The sequence below is a fragment of the Homo sapiens genome, chromosome 3 (assembly GCF_000001405.40).
Source record: "Homo sapiens chromosome 3, GRCh38.p14 Primary Assembly".
Lineage (NCBI taxonomy): Eukaryota > Metazoa > Chordata > Mammalia > Primates > Hominidae > Homo > Homo sapiens.
In genome coordinates this window covers 65,041,171-65,057,219 of record NC_000003.12, presented here as the reverse complement: position 1 = coordinate 65,057,219, position 16,049 = coordinate 65,041,171, and positions in this window count along the sequence as shown.

The following is a 16,049-nucleotide window of genomic DNA, read 5'->3' as shown; positions in this document are numbered from 1 at the left end:
TCTGCCTCAATTTCAGAGCCTGTTATGGGTCTATTCAGAGATTCAACTTCTTTCTGGTTTAATCTTGGGAGGGCCTATGTGTCCAGGAATTTATCCATTCCTTCTAGATTTTCTAGTTTATTTGCATAGAGGTGTTTATAGTATTCTCTGATGGTAGTTTGTATTTCTGTGGGATCGGTGGTGATATTCCCTTTATCATTTTTTATTGTGTCTATTTGATTCTTCTCTCTTTTCTTCTTTATTAGTCTTGCTAGTGGTCTATCAATTTTGTTGATCTTTTCAAAAAACCAGCTCCTGGATTCATTGATTTTTTTGAAGGGTTTTTTGTGTCTATCTCCTTTAGTTCTGCTCTGATCTTAGTTATTTCTTGCCTTCTGCTAGCTTTTGAATGTGTTTGCTCTTGCTTCTCTAGTTCTTTTAATTGTGTTGTTAGGGTGTCAGTTTTAGATCTTTCCTGCTTTCTCTTGTGGGCATTTAGTGCTATAAACTTCCCTCTACACAGTGCTTTAAATGTGTCTCAGAGATTCTGGTATGTTGTGTGTTTGTTCTCATTGGTTTCAAAGAACATCTTTATTTCTGCCTTCATTTCGTTATGTACCCAGTAGTCATTCAGGAGCAGGTTGTTCAGTTTCCATGTAGTTGTACAGTTGTGAGTGAGTTTCTTAATCCTGAGTTCTAATTTGATTGCATGTCATCTGAGAGACAGTTTGTTATGATTTCTGTTCTTTTACATTTGCTGAGGAGTGCTTTACTTCCAACTATGTGGTCAGTTTTGGAATAGGTGTGATGTGGTGCTGAGAAGAATGTATATTCTGTTGATTTGGTGTGGAAAGTTCTGTAGATGTCTATTATGTCTGCTTGGTGCAGAGCTGAGTTCAAGTCCTGGATATCCTTGTTAACTTTCTGTCTTGTTGGTGTGTCTAATGTTGACAGTGGGGTGTTAAAGTCTCCCATTATTATTGTGTGGGAGTGTAAGTCTCTTTGTAGGTCTCTAAGGACTTGCTTTATGAATCTGGGTACTCCTGTATTGGGTGCATATATATTTAGGATAGTTAGCTCTTCTTGTTGAATTGATCCCTTTACCATTATGTAATGGCCTTCTTTGTTGCTTTTGCTCTTCGTTGGTTTAAAGTCTGTTTTATCAGAGACTAGGATTGCAAACCTTGCTTTGTTTTCGTTTTGCATTTGCTTGGTAGCTGTTCCTCCATCCCTTTATTTTGAGCCTATGTGTGTCTCTGCACATGAGATGGGTCTCCTGAATACAGCACACTGATGGGTCTTGACTCTTTATCCAGTTTGCCATTCTGTGTCTTTTAATTGGGTCATTTAGCCCATTTACTTTTAAGGTTAATATTGTTATGTGTGAATTAGATCCTGTCATGATGATGTTAGCTGGTTATTTTGCTTGTTAGTTGATGCAGTTTCTTGCTAGCATCGATGGTCCTTACAATTTGGCATCTTTTTGCAGTGGCTGGTACCGATTGTTCGTTTCAATGTTTAGTGCTTCCTTTGGGAGCTCTTGTAAGGCAGGCCTGGTGGTGACAGAATCTATCAGCATTTGCTTGTCTGTAAAGGATTTTATTTCTCCTTCACTTATGAAGCTTAGTTTGGCTGGATATGAAATTCTGGGTTGAAAATTCTTTTCTTTAACAATGTTGAATATGGACCCCGACTGTCTTCTTGCTTGTAGAGTTTTTGCCGAGAGATCTGCTGTTAGTCTGATGGGCTTCCTTTTGTGGGTATCCTGACCCTTCTCTCTGGCTGCCCTTAACATTTTTTCCTTCATTTTAACCTTGGTGAATCTGATAATTATGTGTCTTGGGGTTGCTTTTCTTGAGGAGTATCTTTGTGGTGTTCTCTGTATTTCCTGAATTTGAAAGTCGGCCTGCCTTGCTAGGTTGGGGACGTTCTCCTGTATAATATCGTGAAGAGTGTTTTCCAACTTGGTTCCATTCTCCCCATCATTTTCAGGTACACCAATCAAACGTAGATTTGGTCTCTTCACATAGTCCCATATTTCTTGGAGGCTTTGTTTGCTTATTTTTACTTTCTCCAAACTTCTCTTCTCGCTTCATTTCATTAATTTGATGTTCAATCACTGATACCCTTTCTTCCACTTGACGAATCAGCTACTGGAGCTTGTGCATGTGTCACGTAGTTCCTGTGCCATGGTTTTCAGCTCCATCAGGTTATTTAAGGTCTTCTCTATGCTGTTTATTCTAGTTAGCCATTCGTCTAATCTTTTTTCAAGGTTTTAAGCTTCCTCGTGATGGGTTCGAACATCCTCCTTTAGCTTGGATAATTTTGTTATTACCAGTCTTCTGAAGCCTCCTCTGTCAACTCGTCAAAGTCATTCTCCATCCAGCTTTGTTCCATTGCTGGCGAGGAGCTGAGATCCTTTGGCGGAGAAGAGGCGCTCTGGTTTTCAGAATTTTCAGCTTTTCTGCTCTGGTTTCTCCTCATCTTTGTGGTTTTATCTACCTTTGGTCTTTGATGATGGTGACCTACAGATGGGGTTTTGGTGTGGATGTCCTTTTTGTTGTTGTTGATGCTATTCCTTTCTGTTTGTTAGTTTTCCTTCTAACAGTCAGGTCCCTCAGCTGCAGGTCTGTTGGAGTTTGTTGGAGGTCCACTCCAGACCCTATTTGCCTGGGTATCACCAGCAGAGGCTGCAGAACAGCAAATATTGCAGAACAGCAAATGTTGCTGCCTGATCCTTTCTCTGGAAGCTTCATCTCAGAGGGGCACCTGGCTGTATGAGGTGTCAGTCGGCCCCTAATGTGTCTCCCACTTAGGCTACTCAGGGGTCAGGGACCCATGTGAGGAGGCAGTCTGTCTGTTCTCAGAGCTCAAACACCATTCAAGCCCACTTTCATATTAGATAAAACTGATAATAAATGCTTTATCTGCATGTAAATGAATATTCCTAGGAGGAGAGTTTTATTTATTTTAAATTTTTGGTTTTTTTTTAGTAATTTCAGCTTATTTTAGATTTGCGGGTACATGTGCAGGTTTGTCACATGGGTCTATTTCATGATGCTGAGGTTTGAGATATGAATGATCACATCACCCAGGTAATGAGCATTGTAGTATACTCATAGTACTATGCCCAGTTGTTAGTTTTTCAACCCTTTCCCACCTCTAGTAGTCTGCAGTGTCTACTGTTGACATCTTTATGTCCATGAGTACCCAGTGATTAGGTCTCACTTATAAATAAGAACATGTACTATTTGTTTTCTTTTCCTGCATTAATTCACTTAAGATAATTATCTCTAGCTACATCCATGTTGCTGCAAAGGACATGATTTCCTTCTTTTTATGGCTGTGTACTACTCCAGGGTGTATATGTAGCACATTTTCTTTATCCAGTCAACTGTTAATGGGTACCTGGGTTGATTCCCTGTCTTTGCTATTGTGAATAGTGCTGCGATGAACATAGGTGTATGTGTCTTTTTGGTAGACTGATTTATTTTCTTTTGAATATATACCTAGTATTGGGATTGCTGGGTCAAATGGTAGTTCTATTTTAAGTTCTTTGAGAAATCTAGAAAGATAATTTTAGATGGCATTAAGGAAAGTGACAGTAATAATTGCATTATGTCAATGATACCTTCTTGCCCACTGAATCTGGCCCTGTCACAAGCCAACCAATTATCTTTTTCTTTTTAAGACGATTTAAGATAAAGTTTCTGTTACTCATAACCAAGTAGTGTGCTGAATAAAACACAATAGGAAGAGTTTGAATTATTTAGGAGTATACATTTTTTTCAGTATAACATTGAAAGCAGATATTAAATGTAAGTAATGAATGTACTAAGAATCATTGCATAAATAAATAACCCTTTATAGCTTCATAACTCTCCATAGTTTATAGAATGCATTCACATACAGTCTGTTCACAGTTGCTGTGTAAGATGGGCAGTGATTGTCAGTCTTCATCCAGCTTCATCCAGACACTTCTTCAAAGTCAATGAAAGTCATGTGAATAATCATCATCAAAACTGAGCTCATCTTCCTCCTAACACTTCCATTAGTTCCTAATGACCTTTTGCTAGAAACTCCATGAATCAATGGTTCTAGGTTGCTATGACCATCTAACAAAAGATACAAGTAAATAATGTATATTAAGAATAATTCAAGTGTGTATGTGTGTGTTTCAGTGTAAGGTGAACAATACAAAAAAACTTATCTGGTAATCTACACAACATTCATGTACAGCTGCCATTTTTTAAAAACCTGGCAAAAACTTCCAAAAGAAAATATTATTAGTCCTTTTAAAGAGGTGCTTAACTAGCAGTATTTAGCTTTGATCTCATGATCCAAAGTAAACTCAACAACTTTTCTCAAAGAACCAAGACTTTTAAATTAGATCATTGACTTCCAAAATCTTGGCCAAGAAATCTGACATGTAAACTATCTTCTGCTCCATTTATCTAATGTGAAGAGATGAAGGTCCAAGATGAAACCTGGCAGGATTTGAACCCAAGGTTCCGGGAAGTCTAAATGAGCCTAATATTATGTTTGGCTGAGAATTGTTCCCCCTGGCAGGGAAAACACACAGCTTCAAGCCTGTTGATGCTGACAAAGCTTTTTAAGATAAGGGATTAAAATGCTCCCTAAAAGCAGAAACTCTTGGTGTCTGCCTCAATGCAACAGGTAGGTAGTTCCAAAACACTTGTGAAAAAGGTCTTTGTTTGGGATATACTCTCTCTGGAAAGGAACAAGGAGCTTATTTATCTGTGACCGAAAAAGAAAAGAAAAGGGCAAGCAAGCAACTTCTTTCCTTCTTTAATAAGAGTAAGGTGCAGGGAGAGAGACAATCTCACACTACTCTGAGAAACACTTAAAAGCAGGCAATTTTCTCCTCCCTCAGGCTCTGTGGTTAGGTGGTTAAAGTCTGAACCAAAGAGAAAGACTAGCAGCTTCTCTTCACAGCTTAGATAATCATTTCCTGTTTGTCCTTAGGCAGATTGCCTCATCATTTTCAGGAGCCTTGATTAAGAGTGTCTCAATTTACCCATCTAAAATAATAGCTGTTTCATCAGGGGTATTGTGGTGTTTAATTAAAGCCTGTGAAGGGTACTGAGATCCTCAGATAAGACTCTGTGTAAACACTAAGTAATGTATGTCTGCATATATACAGATATAAGCTAGGCCTGCAAAATTGAATTTATCTGACAAATTTTTTTTCATCCCATCAACCTGCCTCAAACTAGTTTTGTTGCCCCAGACTTAGAATAAAAATTCCTTCAGGGCAGTATACTCCAAGAATTGCCAAATGCTTAGATAAGGTGCCTTGGTAAAGCTTTAAGTGTCCCAGCCAACTTTAGGTCAGCTACCTTCTTACAATGCTTCCCAGACCTCAGGTATTCATTTCACAATTTCATAGATTTTACTATTTCTGCTTACCACCTGTACCATTGTTTAATATTTTCTAAATGGGATACTTATTTGCCTTAAAAAGTTTATTTAGGGCAAAAATTTCATGTGACTATTGTGCATAGAAAACAAGTGTTTTTCAGTAGCAAAGGCATAGAATCAACCTAAATGCCCATCAATGGTAGACTGGATAAAGAAAATGTGGTACATGTACACCATGGATTGCTATGCAGCCATAAAAAAAGAACAAGATCATGTCCTTCGCAGGAACATAAATGGAGCTGGAGGTCATTATTATTAGCAAACTAATGCAGGAACACAAAACTAAATACCAAATGTTCTCACTTATAAGTGGAAGCTAAATTATTAGAATACATGGACACAAAGAGAGGAGCAACAGGCACTGGGGCCAACTTGAGGGTAGAGGGTGGGAGGAAGGAGAGGATCAGAAAAAAATAACTATTAAGTACTAGGCTTAGTACCCAGGTGAAAAAATAATCTGTAAAACAAACCCCTGTGACAGAAGTTTACCTGTTTAACAAACCTACACATGTACCCCTGAACCTAAAATGAAAGTTAGCAAAAAGAAACGAAAACAAGTGTTTTCTAATATACATTAATTTAAGTACATATCTATTCAAAATTTTAAAAGTTTACTCATGTTATTTAAAAATTATCTTGTATATCAATAGTTTATGCATATCATGTTTAGATGAAGTAAAAAGTAAAAGATCATTCAAAATTGCATATAATCTCCAGATGATTTATATTTTATATATATAACACATTTTGATGCTATTCTTTTTGGCAGCTTTATCAATGAGCTATTGTAGTATAACAAACTACAGAGGTGTAGAATAATAATAATTTATTATTCTTTAAGGGTCTGTGGGTTGGCTGGGCAATTCTGCTGCTCTGAGCCAGGTTTGGCTGATCTTGGCTGGCCTTGGTCACACGTCTGTGATTAGCTGGCAGATTGGCTGGGGCTGGCTGGTATAGGATGGCCTCAGTCACATACCTGGTGGTTGTCCAGCTCTTGTCTTAGGGCAATGCAGTGACTGGATCACATGTCATTCATCTTTCAATAGACTATTCTAGACGTTCCCAGATAGGGTTTAGGGTTCTAAGAGAAAGCAGAAGTTGCAAGGCCTCTGGAGGACTAGGTTTGGAAAGAGAACCACCTAGACTCTCCCACATTTTACTGGCTAAACAAAATTACAGTGCCAATTTAGAGTGGTTTTGGTGGGGTCCAAAACTCTTTAGGGTTCCATATTCCTCCTAGTTTTACACGAAGCCATCCCTAGGCTGTGGCCGTCATCCTCATGCTCCAAGTAGCTGCTGGAGTTCCAGCCATTACATGCTGAGTTTGACCAGCAGGAGCCTGCAGGAGGCTGGTTAATGGTCCCTCAAGACATCCATGTCCTAAGTTTTACAACCTGTGAATATTACCTTATATGGCAAAAGGGACTTTGCAGATGTGATTAAATTAAGGATCTTCAAATTGAGAGTTTATCCTCAGTTACACAGGTAAGAATAATGCAACTACAGGTGTCATTGTAAGAGGGAGGGAGAGGGAGACTTGATTGTAGCAGAGACAGTAGGCAACATGATGACCAAAGTAAGATACGACACTGTTGGCTTTGAAAATAGAGAAAGGAGACAAGTAATGCAGCTCTGGAAACTGGAAAATGCAAGGAGATGAATTCCTCTCTAGAGTCTCCAAAGGGAGCATGGCCTGATGACACTTTGATTTCAGCCCAGCGAAACTAATTTTGGACTTCTGAACTCTAGAACTGTAAAATAATAAATCTCTTTTGTTTTAAACCACCAAGTTCATGGTGATTTCTTATAGCAGCCACAGGAAACTAAAGCAGAGGCTCACTAGATGTTCCACATAATACTTCCATTTTAACTCATTGGTCAAAATTTGGTTACATGGCTACATATAGCTGCAAGGGTGCCTGGGAAAGGTTTTTTTTTTTTTTTTTTTTTTTTTCTGGATGTCATTAGTGCCTCCTAAAGAAGAAGTGAATGCTGTTGGAAAACAACTCATCGTGTCAGCCACAGATGGAGAGATAGTAATCAAAGTACATTCAATATATACTGAACATTTAACAAATGTCAGGTATGTTCTGGGTTCTGGTTATACACTGGTGAACGATAGAGGCAAAATTTCTGCTCTCATGTAGCTCATATACTAGAGAGGGAATACAGAAAATGAACAAAGCTATAAATATATAAGGTAAAAAGGGATGTATGCTATTAAAGAAATAAAGCAGGGGCTGAGTATAGAGTTGGGAGATTCATGGCTATTTTGGAAAGGATTTTACAAAAGAATATGAGAAGCATCCTGTCATAAGATAATAGGGTGTAGTAGGCCAGGTGGTCAACTGGATAGTAACTGCTGTGACTAAAGGTATTTGAAATCAAACTTAGAATCTGCTTCCAAAATGACAATGTGAGGAGCTCTGTGGCTCTCTGCCCAGTGGAACAACCATAATTGATAAAAAATATTTTTTTAAGAAGCTAAAGTCTCTGAAATTGTTATAATGGCATATAGCAGATGATGAAATATTTTTTTAAATCGACTAAATCTTATTAAGAACAATGAGCATCTGTAGCATTTGAGTCATGACCTACTCTCTCCCTATCCTCCCTCCCCTGCCCCACAGTTCAAAGAAACTCCATTCCAAAAAGATGTGGCCAAGAAGATAGGGTACCCTCCTCTCTAAGCTCCAAGTCAAGTGGTGTAGAATCTTCCCTGGAGGGGCAGGTTTTTAGCATTTCTGATTCTCCTGTGCTCTGTGATACAGAGGCTAAATTCCAGGTAAGTGTGAATGAGAGGTTGGGGGATTCCCTTTCTCTACTCAGCCGCCAATCACAGGACAGAGGATCTACTCAGTTATAGCAAGCTGAGAATACTATAGCTCAGATGACACTCAACCCAGATCTCTCATAGGTAGAGGTTTTAGGCCAGCTGTCAGCAAAGGCTAGTCCAGAAGACCAGAGGCTGCTTCCCTCACTCAGTGTCCTGCTCATAAAGCAGGAGTGTCTCTTCAAGAGAAATGGGCCGCTCTTCCCAATCCTAGCTCCACAGAATAGGTACAGATGTTTTGCCAAGGGAGACAGGTATAAGAACAGAGTTCTGAAGTTTTCCTCTTAGGAACTGACTTTATTTGGAAGAAAGTGTGGTAAAGAAAGTTCAAGCCTAAGGGTGATCTCAAAAACTTGGAGATTTTTCGTGGTAAGGAGGCTGGTTGCAACATGAGAACAACAAACTAAACTATAGACCAACTAGTTTATTGAAGAGAACCAGGGAAAAAGCTAAGAAGAGCCTTACTTGGATCAGAACAAACCTCGAAAACTGGATTTAAAGCCTACCCTTGCAAAGGGGGCCTGAATTTATTTGCATCAGACTATGGGGCACTTTATGCTCCAGGAAATTGCCAAAAAATGATAGAGCAGTGAATCAGCAATTAGTGGAGCCTAACAGCTGGGTGTGATACCAACAGAAGCAGACAGCTTAACAGAAAGTTCAGAAAAAGAGACAGTGAAAGAGAGCCCTACTAAAAACACTCTCATCCCAGTTTAACTGTGGGCATGCCCAAGCTTCTTACTAAAGAGCAACAAAGTTGACAAGATCCCTTTGGCAAGTCTGATCATGAAAAAAAGAGAGACAGAGAGAAGACACTGATTGCTAAATTAAAGATTGGAGGAGGGGTTATTACCACTAACTTCACAGAATAAAAATGATTACAAACATATATTATAAACAATGGTATATCAGCAACTTAGATAACCCAGATGAAATGGACAAATTCCTAGAAATATACAAAGTACCAAAACTACTCAAGAAGAAATAGGAGAGCTGAGTAGATCCATAAAACACAAAGAGATTGAATTCAGGAGTAACAAAGTTCCCACAAAAAAAAAAAAAAAAAAAAAAAAAAAAAAAAGCCAGAACCAGATGAATACACTGGTGAATTTTACCAAAACTTAAAAAATTAATATCAATTATTCACCAAATTCTCCCAAAATATAGAAGAGAAAAGAACATTTCCCAGATCAGTCTATGAGGGCAGCGTTACTCTGATACTAAAATCTGACAAAGACATCACAAGAAAACTACAGACCAATACTTCTTACGAATATAGACACAAAATATTCAACCAAATACTAACAAACTGAGTTCCATAATATATAAAAGGGGTTATATTCCATAACAATGTGAGATTTATCCCAGGAATGCAAGTTTGGATGGACATTTAAAAATCAATTAATATAATATATCAGTAGAATCAAGAACAAAAAACATATAAGCATTTTGATAGATATAGAAAAAGTATTTGACAAAATTCCAGATCCCTTCATAACAAAAGCAATAAGACTAGAAGGAAATTTCCTTTACCTGACTAAGGGCACGTACAAAAACTCCACAGCTAACAGTTTATTTATGTATTTATTTAATTTTTTTTGAGACAGAGAGTCCTACACTGTTGCCCAGGCTGGAGTGCAATGGCATGATCTCAGCTCACTGCAACCTCTGTCCCCCGGGTTCAAGCGATTCTCCTGTGTCCGCCACCCAGGTAGCTGGGATTACAGGCACGCACCACCATGCCTGGCTATTTTTTCTATTTTTAGTAGAGATGAGGTTTCATCGTGTTGGCCAGGCTGGTCTTGAACTCCTGACTTCAAGTGATCTGCCCACCTCAGCCTCCCAAAGTGCTGGGATTACAGGCGTAAGCCACCGCGTCCAGCTGCTGACAATATATCTAAAGGTAAAAGATGGAAAGCTTTCCCTCCAAGATCAAAAACAAGACAAGAATATCCACTTATGCTATCTCAACCTTATACTTGAGGTTCTAGTCAAGGATATTAGGCAAGAAAAAGAAATAAAAGACATCCAAATTAAAAAGGAAAAGTAAAACTACTTGTATTAGCAGATGACATGATCTTGTATATAGAAAACTCTAAAGAAACTATTAAAACTAATAAATGAGTTCAGCAAGTTTGCAAGACACAGATCAATATTCAAAAATCAACTGTATTTGCACACTGTAGCAGTGAACAAACTGAAACTGACATGAACAGATTAAATCCATTTACAATAGCATCAAAAGAGTAAAATACTGAGAAATAACTTTATGAAAGAAGGACAAAATTTATACTCTGAAAGCTATAAAACACTGTTGAAAGAAATTACAGATAACCTAAATAAATAGAAAGTCATCCCATGTTCATGGATTGAATTACTTAATATTGTTAAGATGTCATTACTCCCCAAAATGATTCATAGATTCAATGCAATCCTTTTCAAGATCCAAAGTAGCTTATTTTTTTGTTTGCAAATATTGACAAGGTGATCCTAATGTTTATATGAAAATTCATGGAACCCGGAACAGCTAAAACAATCTAGAAAAAATGAGAAAAATGTTAGTGGATTCATATTTTGTTGCTACAAAAATGTAGCAAGTGGATTCACTTGCTACAATGCCAGTAATCAAGACAGTCTGGTACTGGCATAAGGATAAACATATACATGAGTGGAGTTGAAACGAGAGTCTGGCAATAACCCACCACATTTATAGTCAGCTGATTTTCTACAAAGGCATCAGAAGAATTAAATGGTGGTAAGAATAATCTTTTCAACAAATGATGCTGGGAAACTTGATGTCCGCCTGCAAAAGAATTAAGTTGGCCGTTTCCCTCACATCTGACACAAAAATGAACTCAAAATAGGTCACAGATCTAAAGGTAAGAATTAAAACTACAAAACTCTTAGAATAAAATAATCTTTGTAACTTTGCTAAGCAATGGATTCTTAGGTGTGACACCAAAAGCACAAGCAACAACAACAAAATAAATAACTTGGACTTAATCATTATTAAAAGCTGTCTCACTTAAAGGACACCATCAAGAAGGTAAAAAGACAACCCACGAAATGGGAGAAAATATTTGCAAATCATATATCTGATAAGTGACTTTTACCTAGATCATATAGAGAGCTCTTACAACTCAACAATAAAATGACAACCCAATTAAACAATGGGTAAAGATGCAAATAGTCATTTCTCCAAAAAACATATACAAAATGTCAATAAGCACATGCAAGGATGCTCAACATTATTAGTTATCAGAAAAATGCAAATTAAAATTATAATGAGCTACCACTTAACACCCATTAAGATGGGTATAATAAAAATTACAAATAATAACGTGTTGATGATGATGTGGAGAAATCAGGATTCTAATACACTACCAAAGGGACTTTAACATTTTGAAGCTGCTTTGAACAGTAGTCTGACAGTTCCTCAAAAGTTTAAACTTAGAGTTACTATATGATCTAACAATTCCACTCCTAGATGTATACCCAAGAGTAATGAAAACATATTCACACAAAAAGTTGTATACATATAAATGTTTATAGCAGCATCGTTCATAATGGCCAAAAAGTGGGGGAGAAACCCCCAAATGTCCATCAGTTGAAGAAAGGGCAAATAAAATGTGGTATATCCATATGATGGAATATTATTAGGCCATTAAAAGTTATAACATGTTACAGCATAGATAAACCTTGAAAACATGCTGTTAAGTGAAAGAAACCAGTCAAAAATGCCCACACATTGTAAGATTTCATTTATGTAAAATATCCAGAATAGGCAAATATATAGAGACAGAAATTAGATTAGTCATTTCCTAGGCCTGTGGGATTTAGCTAAGGTAGATGGGGAGTGACTATTCACTGGCATAGAGTTTCTTTTGGGAGTGATAAAAATGTTCTAAAATGGACTGTAGTGATGGTTACACAACCTTGTACATATACTAAAAACCACTGAATTTTACACTTTGTAAAGGGGTGAATTGTATCACATGTGAATTACATGTAAGTTTATATATATATAAGAGAATATGCTAGCTAAAAGAAAACTAAATAAACTACAATAACAAAAAACACATCTGGGGTTTTATTCAGCCCATGCATAACCAAATTGTGGTGCCTAAGGTAGAGTCTTTATAAGATCCCCTTCAACTTCAGGATGTTCATTTTATGGTAGAGAATCCTAACCTAGGAAAAAAGGAATTAATATCTGGTATACAAGACCAAGAAGGGATTATATTTATTCAGCTGACTAGCCTTAAAGAAAAACAAGGAGGAAAAGCTATGCATAATTGACCAAGCGGAGGAAAAAAAAGTTGGCTTCTAATCTCCAACTTAAAACAACATGGTCTGAAGACTAAAATTTTCTCCATGGCTGAGAACATCTGATCTTATGAACCCAGAGGCAGGAAGGGGTTTCTTGGGAAGAGCGAGCAGTTCTGTGTTGATCAGGCGCTCTCAACCGTGGAGAAAATTTTAGTCTTCAGACCATGTCCTGTTAAGTTTGGGATTAGAAGCCAACTCAGTTTAGAAATAGGAGTCCTGGCTAGGCGCGCTGGCTCACGCCTGTAATCCCAGCACTTTGGGAGGCCAAGGTGGGTGGATCATGAGGTCAGGGGTTCAAGACCAGCCTGGCCAACATGGTGAAACCCCGTTTCTACTAAAAATATAAAAATACAAAAAAATTTGCCGGGCGTGGTGGCGGGCACTTGTAGTCCCAGCTACTCGGGAGGCTGAGGCAGGAGAATGGCGTGAACCTGGGAGGCGGAGCTTGCAGTGAGCCGAGATCGCGCCACTGCACTCCAGCCTGGGCGACAGAGCGAGACTCCGTCTCAAAAAAAAAAAAAAAAAAAAAAAAGAGAGAAAGAAAGAAAGAAAAAAGAAATAGGAGCCATTGGTTCAAATTCAGGTACTGCCAACCATTATTATAAACTTGGACTTACCATCCCCAGGCCTCAGTTTCCTTATCTATGAAACAAGACAATCAGTGCTATTCTGAAAACTTGTTGGGAGGATTAAATAAATATGGTTACTAAGTGCCTGACATATTAATTTCCATCCATCCTTTTGTGTGTTAGAAAACCAAGCCGTAGAGTATAAAATGCTACAGAAAAAATATTTCTTCCAGTTCACTAGCATGGATCCAAATCTACCACCCTGTTCCATATTGTCATTTCTCCCTTTTAAAAAATTCACTATGTACGGTCTTTCTGTATTCTAGGGGAAGCCTAATTGGTTATCAGCATAAGAGTATGTGATTTAGAAAATAGTGTTATTTCATCTAAGTGAGAAAGAATTCTCTATCACCACCACTACTACTACCAAATAGCACCAACCTGCTGCCTCTGGATTTCTCTCTCTCTCTCTCTCTTTTTTTTTTTGAGATGGAGTTTTACTCTGTCACCCAGGCTGGAATGCAGAGATGCAATCTTGGCTCACTGCAACCTCTGCATCCCAGGTTCAAGCGATTCTCCTACGTCAGCCTCCCGAGTAGCTGGGATTACAGGTGCCCGCCATCACGCCTGGCTAATTTTTGTAGTTTTAGTAGAGACGGGGTTTCAACATGTTGGCAAGACTGGTCTCAAACTCCTGACCTCAGGTGATCCACCTGCCTCAGCCTCCCAAAGTGCTGGGATTACAGGTGTGAGCCACTGCACCTGGCCTGGATTTCAAAGTAAATTGGGATAAAGGACAGAAAATGATTTCCCCAGACAAAATAGAATTCAGCTTTGAACATGTAAGGTTTCTAAAGAATAATCTGGTATTAAATCCTGTGCATGCAGCCAAGTGCTGCAAAGAAGAAGTACAAGGTGTTGCTGGAGAATATAGAGCAGGAGGACCTAACTTTGCTCAGCTGGGTCTTAAAGGAGCTGCATCACCATTTCCGCTTCCCCACCACTCCCCACCGAACAGTTTGAAAGTGGCCTTTTTGAAGTTGGTCTTTTAAGCAATCATTTGCTGTCTTTAAAAAGTTTTAAATGGCTGTCTCAGTAAAAGTGAAATCAATATTCCTTCAGCCTGGGCTTTTAGCAGATAATGTCTCCCCATAAATCATGAGCATAATGACATTGGAATAATTCATCATCTCATTACATTTACAGATGATGCGCCACATTGTTCTGAGGTGAAGGTTATCTTCCCTGCCTGGGACTCCATCCAGAAACAAATAAAAGACCAAGGAACCTGATTATTTCATGGTCCGTTTATAGAAGTTGTTGTGGATCAGTTTTCTGTCTGTCAGCTACTTTTTCTTTACAGTCCTTCCTTGAACTCACTGCAGGGATATATCCTTCTAGCTCAAGAATTTCAATAACCTTTAAAACTTTATTTGTTGAAGAGGCACTTGTCTAGGTTGAAGATGTTCTGTGGGCTTCTTTTTCTATCAGTGCCAGATCTAAGGTCATTGGTAAAACAGTCAAGGATTTATTGAGCAGCTACTATTTGTCAGGTTATGGCACTGGATGCTGACGTGTTCTGTTCTCGTTGAATGTACCATCACAGTGGGGAAGATCATCAAGAACTCTTTACAAATAATCATACCATCATTGCTAGTGGTAAGTACTGGGGAAGGGAGACAAAGGGTGCTATTAATAAAAGAACCTTCTACTTGATCGGGTGGGGCATGAATTATAGAAGGCAACTCTAAAGCAATACTTAAGATCTAAACGTTAGGTATATGATATCTGTGGACTCAATACTTGATGAAGGACAGGATGAATGAACAAAAGCAACAGCAAAGAAGCAAGGGAATGGATAAATAGTTCAGATAATGGCTCTAGATGTCGAGGACTCATTCTTTACCCAGTCAAGAAGAGCTGAATTGGTAACTGTCAATGAAGATATGCGTAGACCTGTGGCATTATCCCTTTAGCACAAACCCTTACTATTTATACAGACTGCTGAAGTCCTGGTTTGGGTAAGTGCTTCAGAAGTAAACAGACTTGACTGTAAATTTCAGTTACCATGTTTGGTTAATTCCATTGAAGCTTTTAGTAGTAATTTCTGAATCCCAATTTCTTCAACTGTGTAATAGGAATAATAAGACCTCTTAAGGATGCTGTGAAGATTAAAAGAGAACATGTGTACCAATGCAGGAAGATACAGAGATTAAGAAGCTAGGCTGGGTTCCCTAGCAAGTTTTGTTTGAATCCCTGCTGGGCCACTACCTAGCCACGTAACCTTGGCAAATAGCTATTCTTTAACACAACATGTATGTTCCATAAAATCACTGCATTATGCTAAATTGGGCAATACAAACCACAGAGCTTATGAGGAAAATGGGGCTCAGGGCACAACACAAAACCACTTTTTCAATGACATGTTAAAAAAAAAAAGATAGAAACCTAATGTTAAAAGAAAAAGTTTAGATAAATTAAATTTAGTAGAGTTTATTTCAGCAAAGAATGATTCATGAATTGGGAAGCCCCCAAAATTTGACTTAAGTAATTTTACTAGACAATGAGTGTTACTTCTTGGTGAGCAAGGGATTTGACTTGTTACACAGGAGAGCTTGAGAAGGCTTCATGCAGCCATGTGGGGGGCAGTCAGTATTTATAGACAGAGTAAGGAAGTGAGGTGTAACAATAGCCTGATTTGTTATAGTTTGGTAGTTTGCCTTATTTGACATGGTGTGATCATTTGGCAGCCTGTAATTGGCTGAAGCTCAGCCGCTATGATGGGCTGAGACTCAGCTATTTGTCACAAGAATATACTTGTAAGTTAGGTTGCGTTTTGATACATATGGACTCAAGATATGGAGACAGCTTTAGGCCAAATTTAATTTGACACTAAA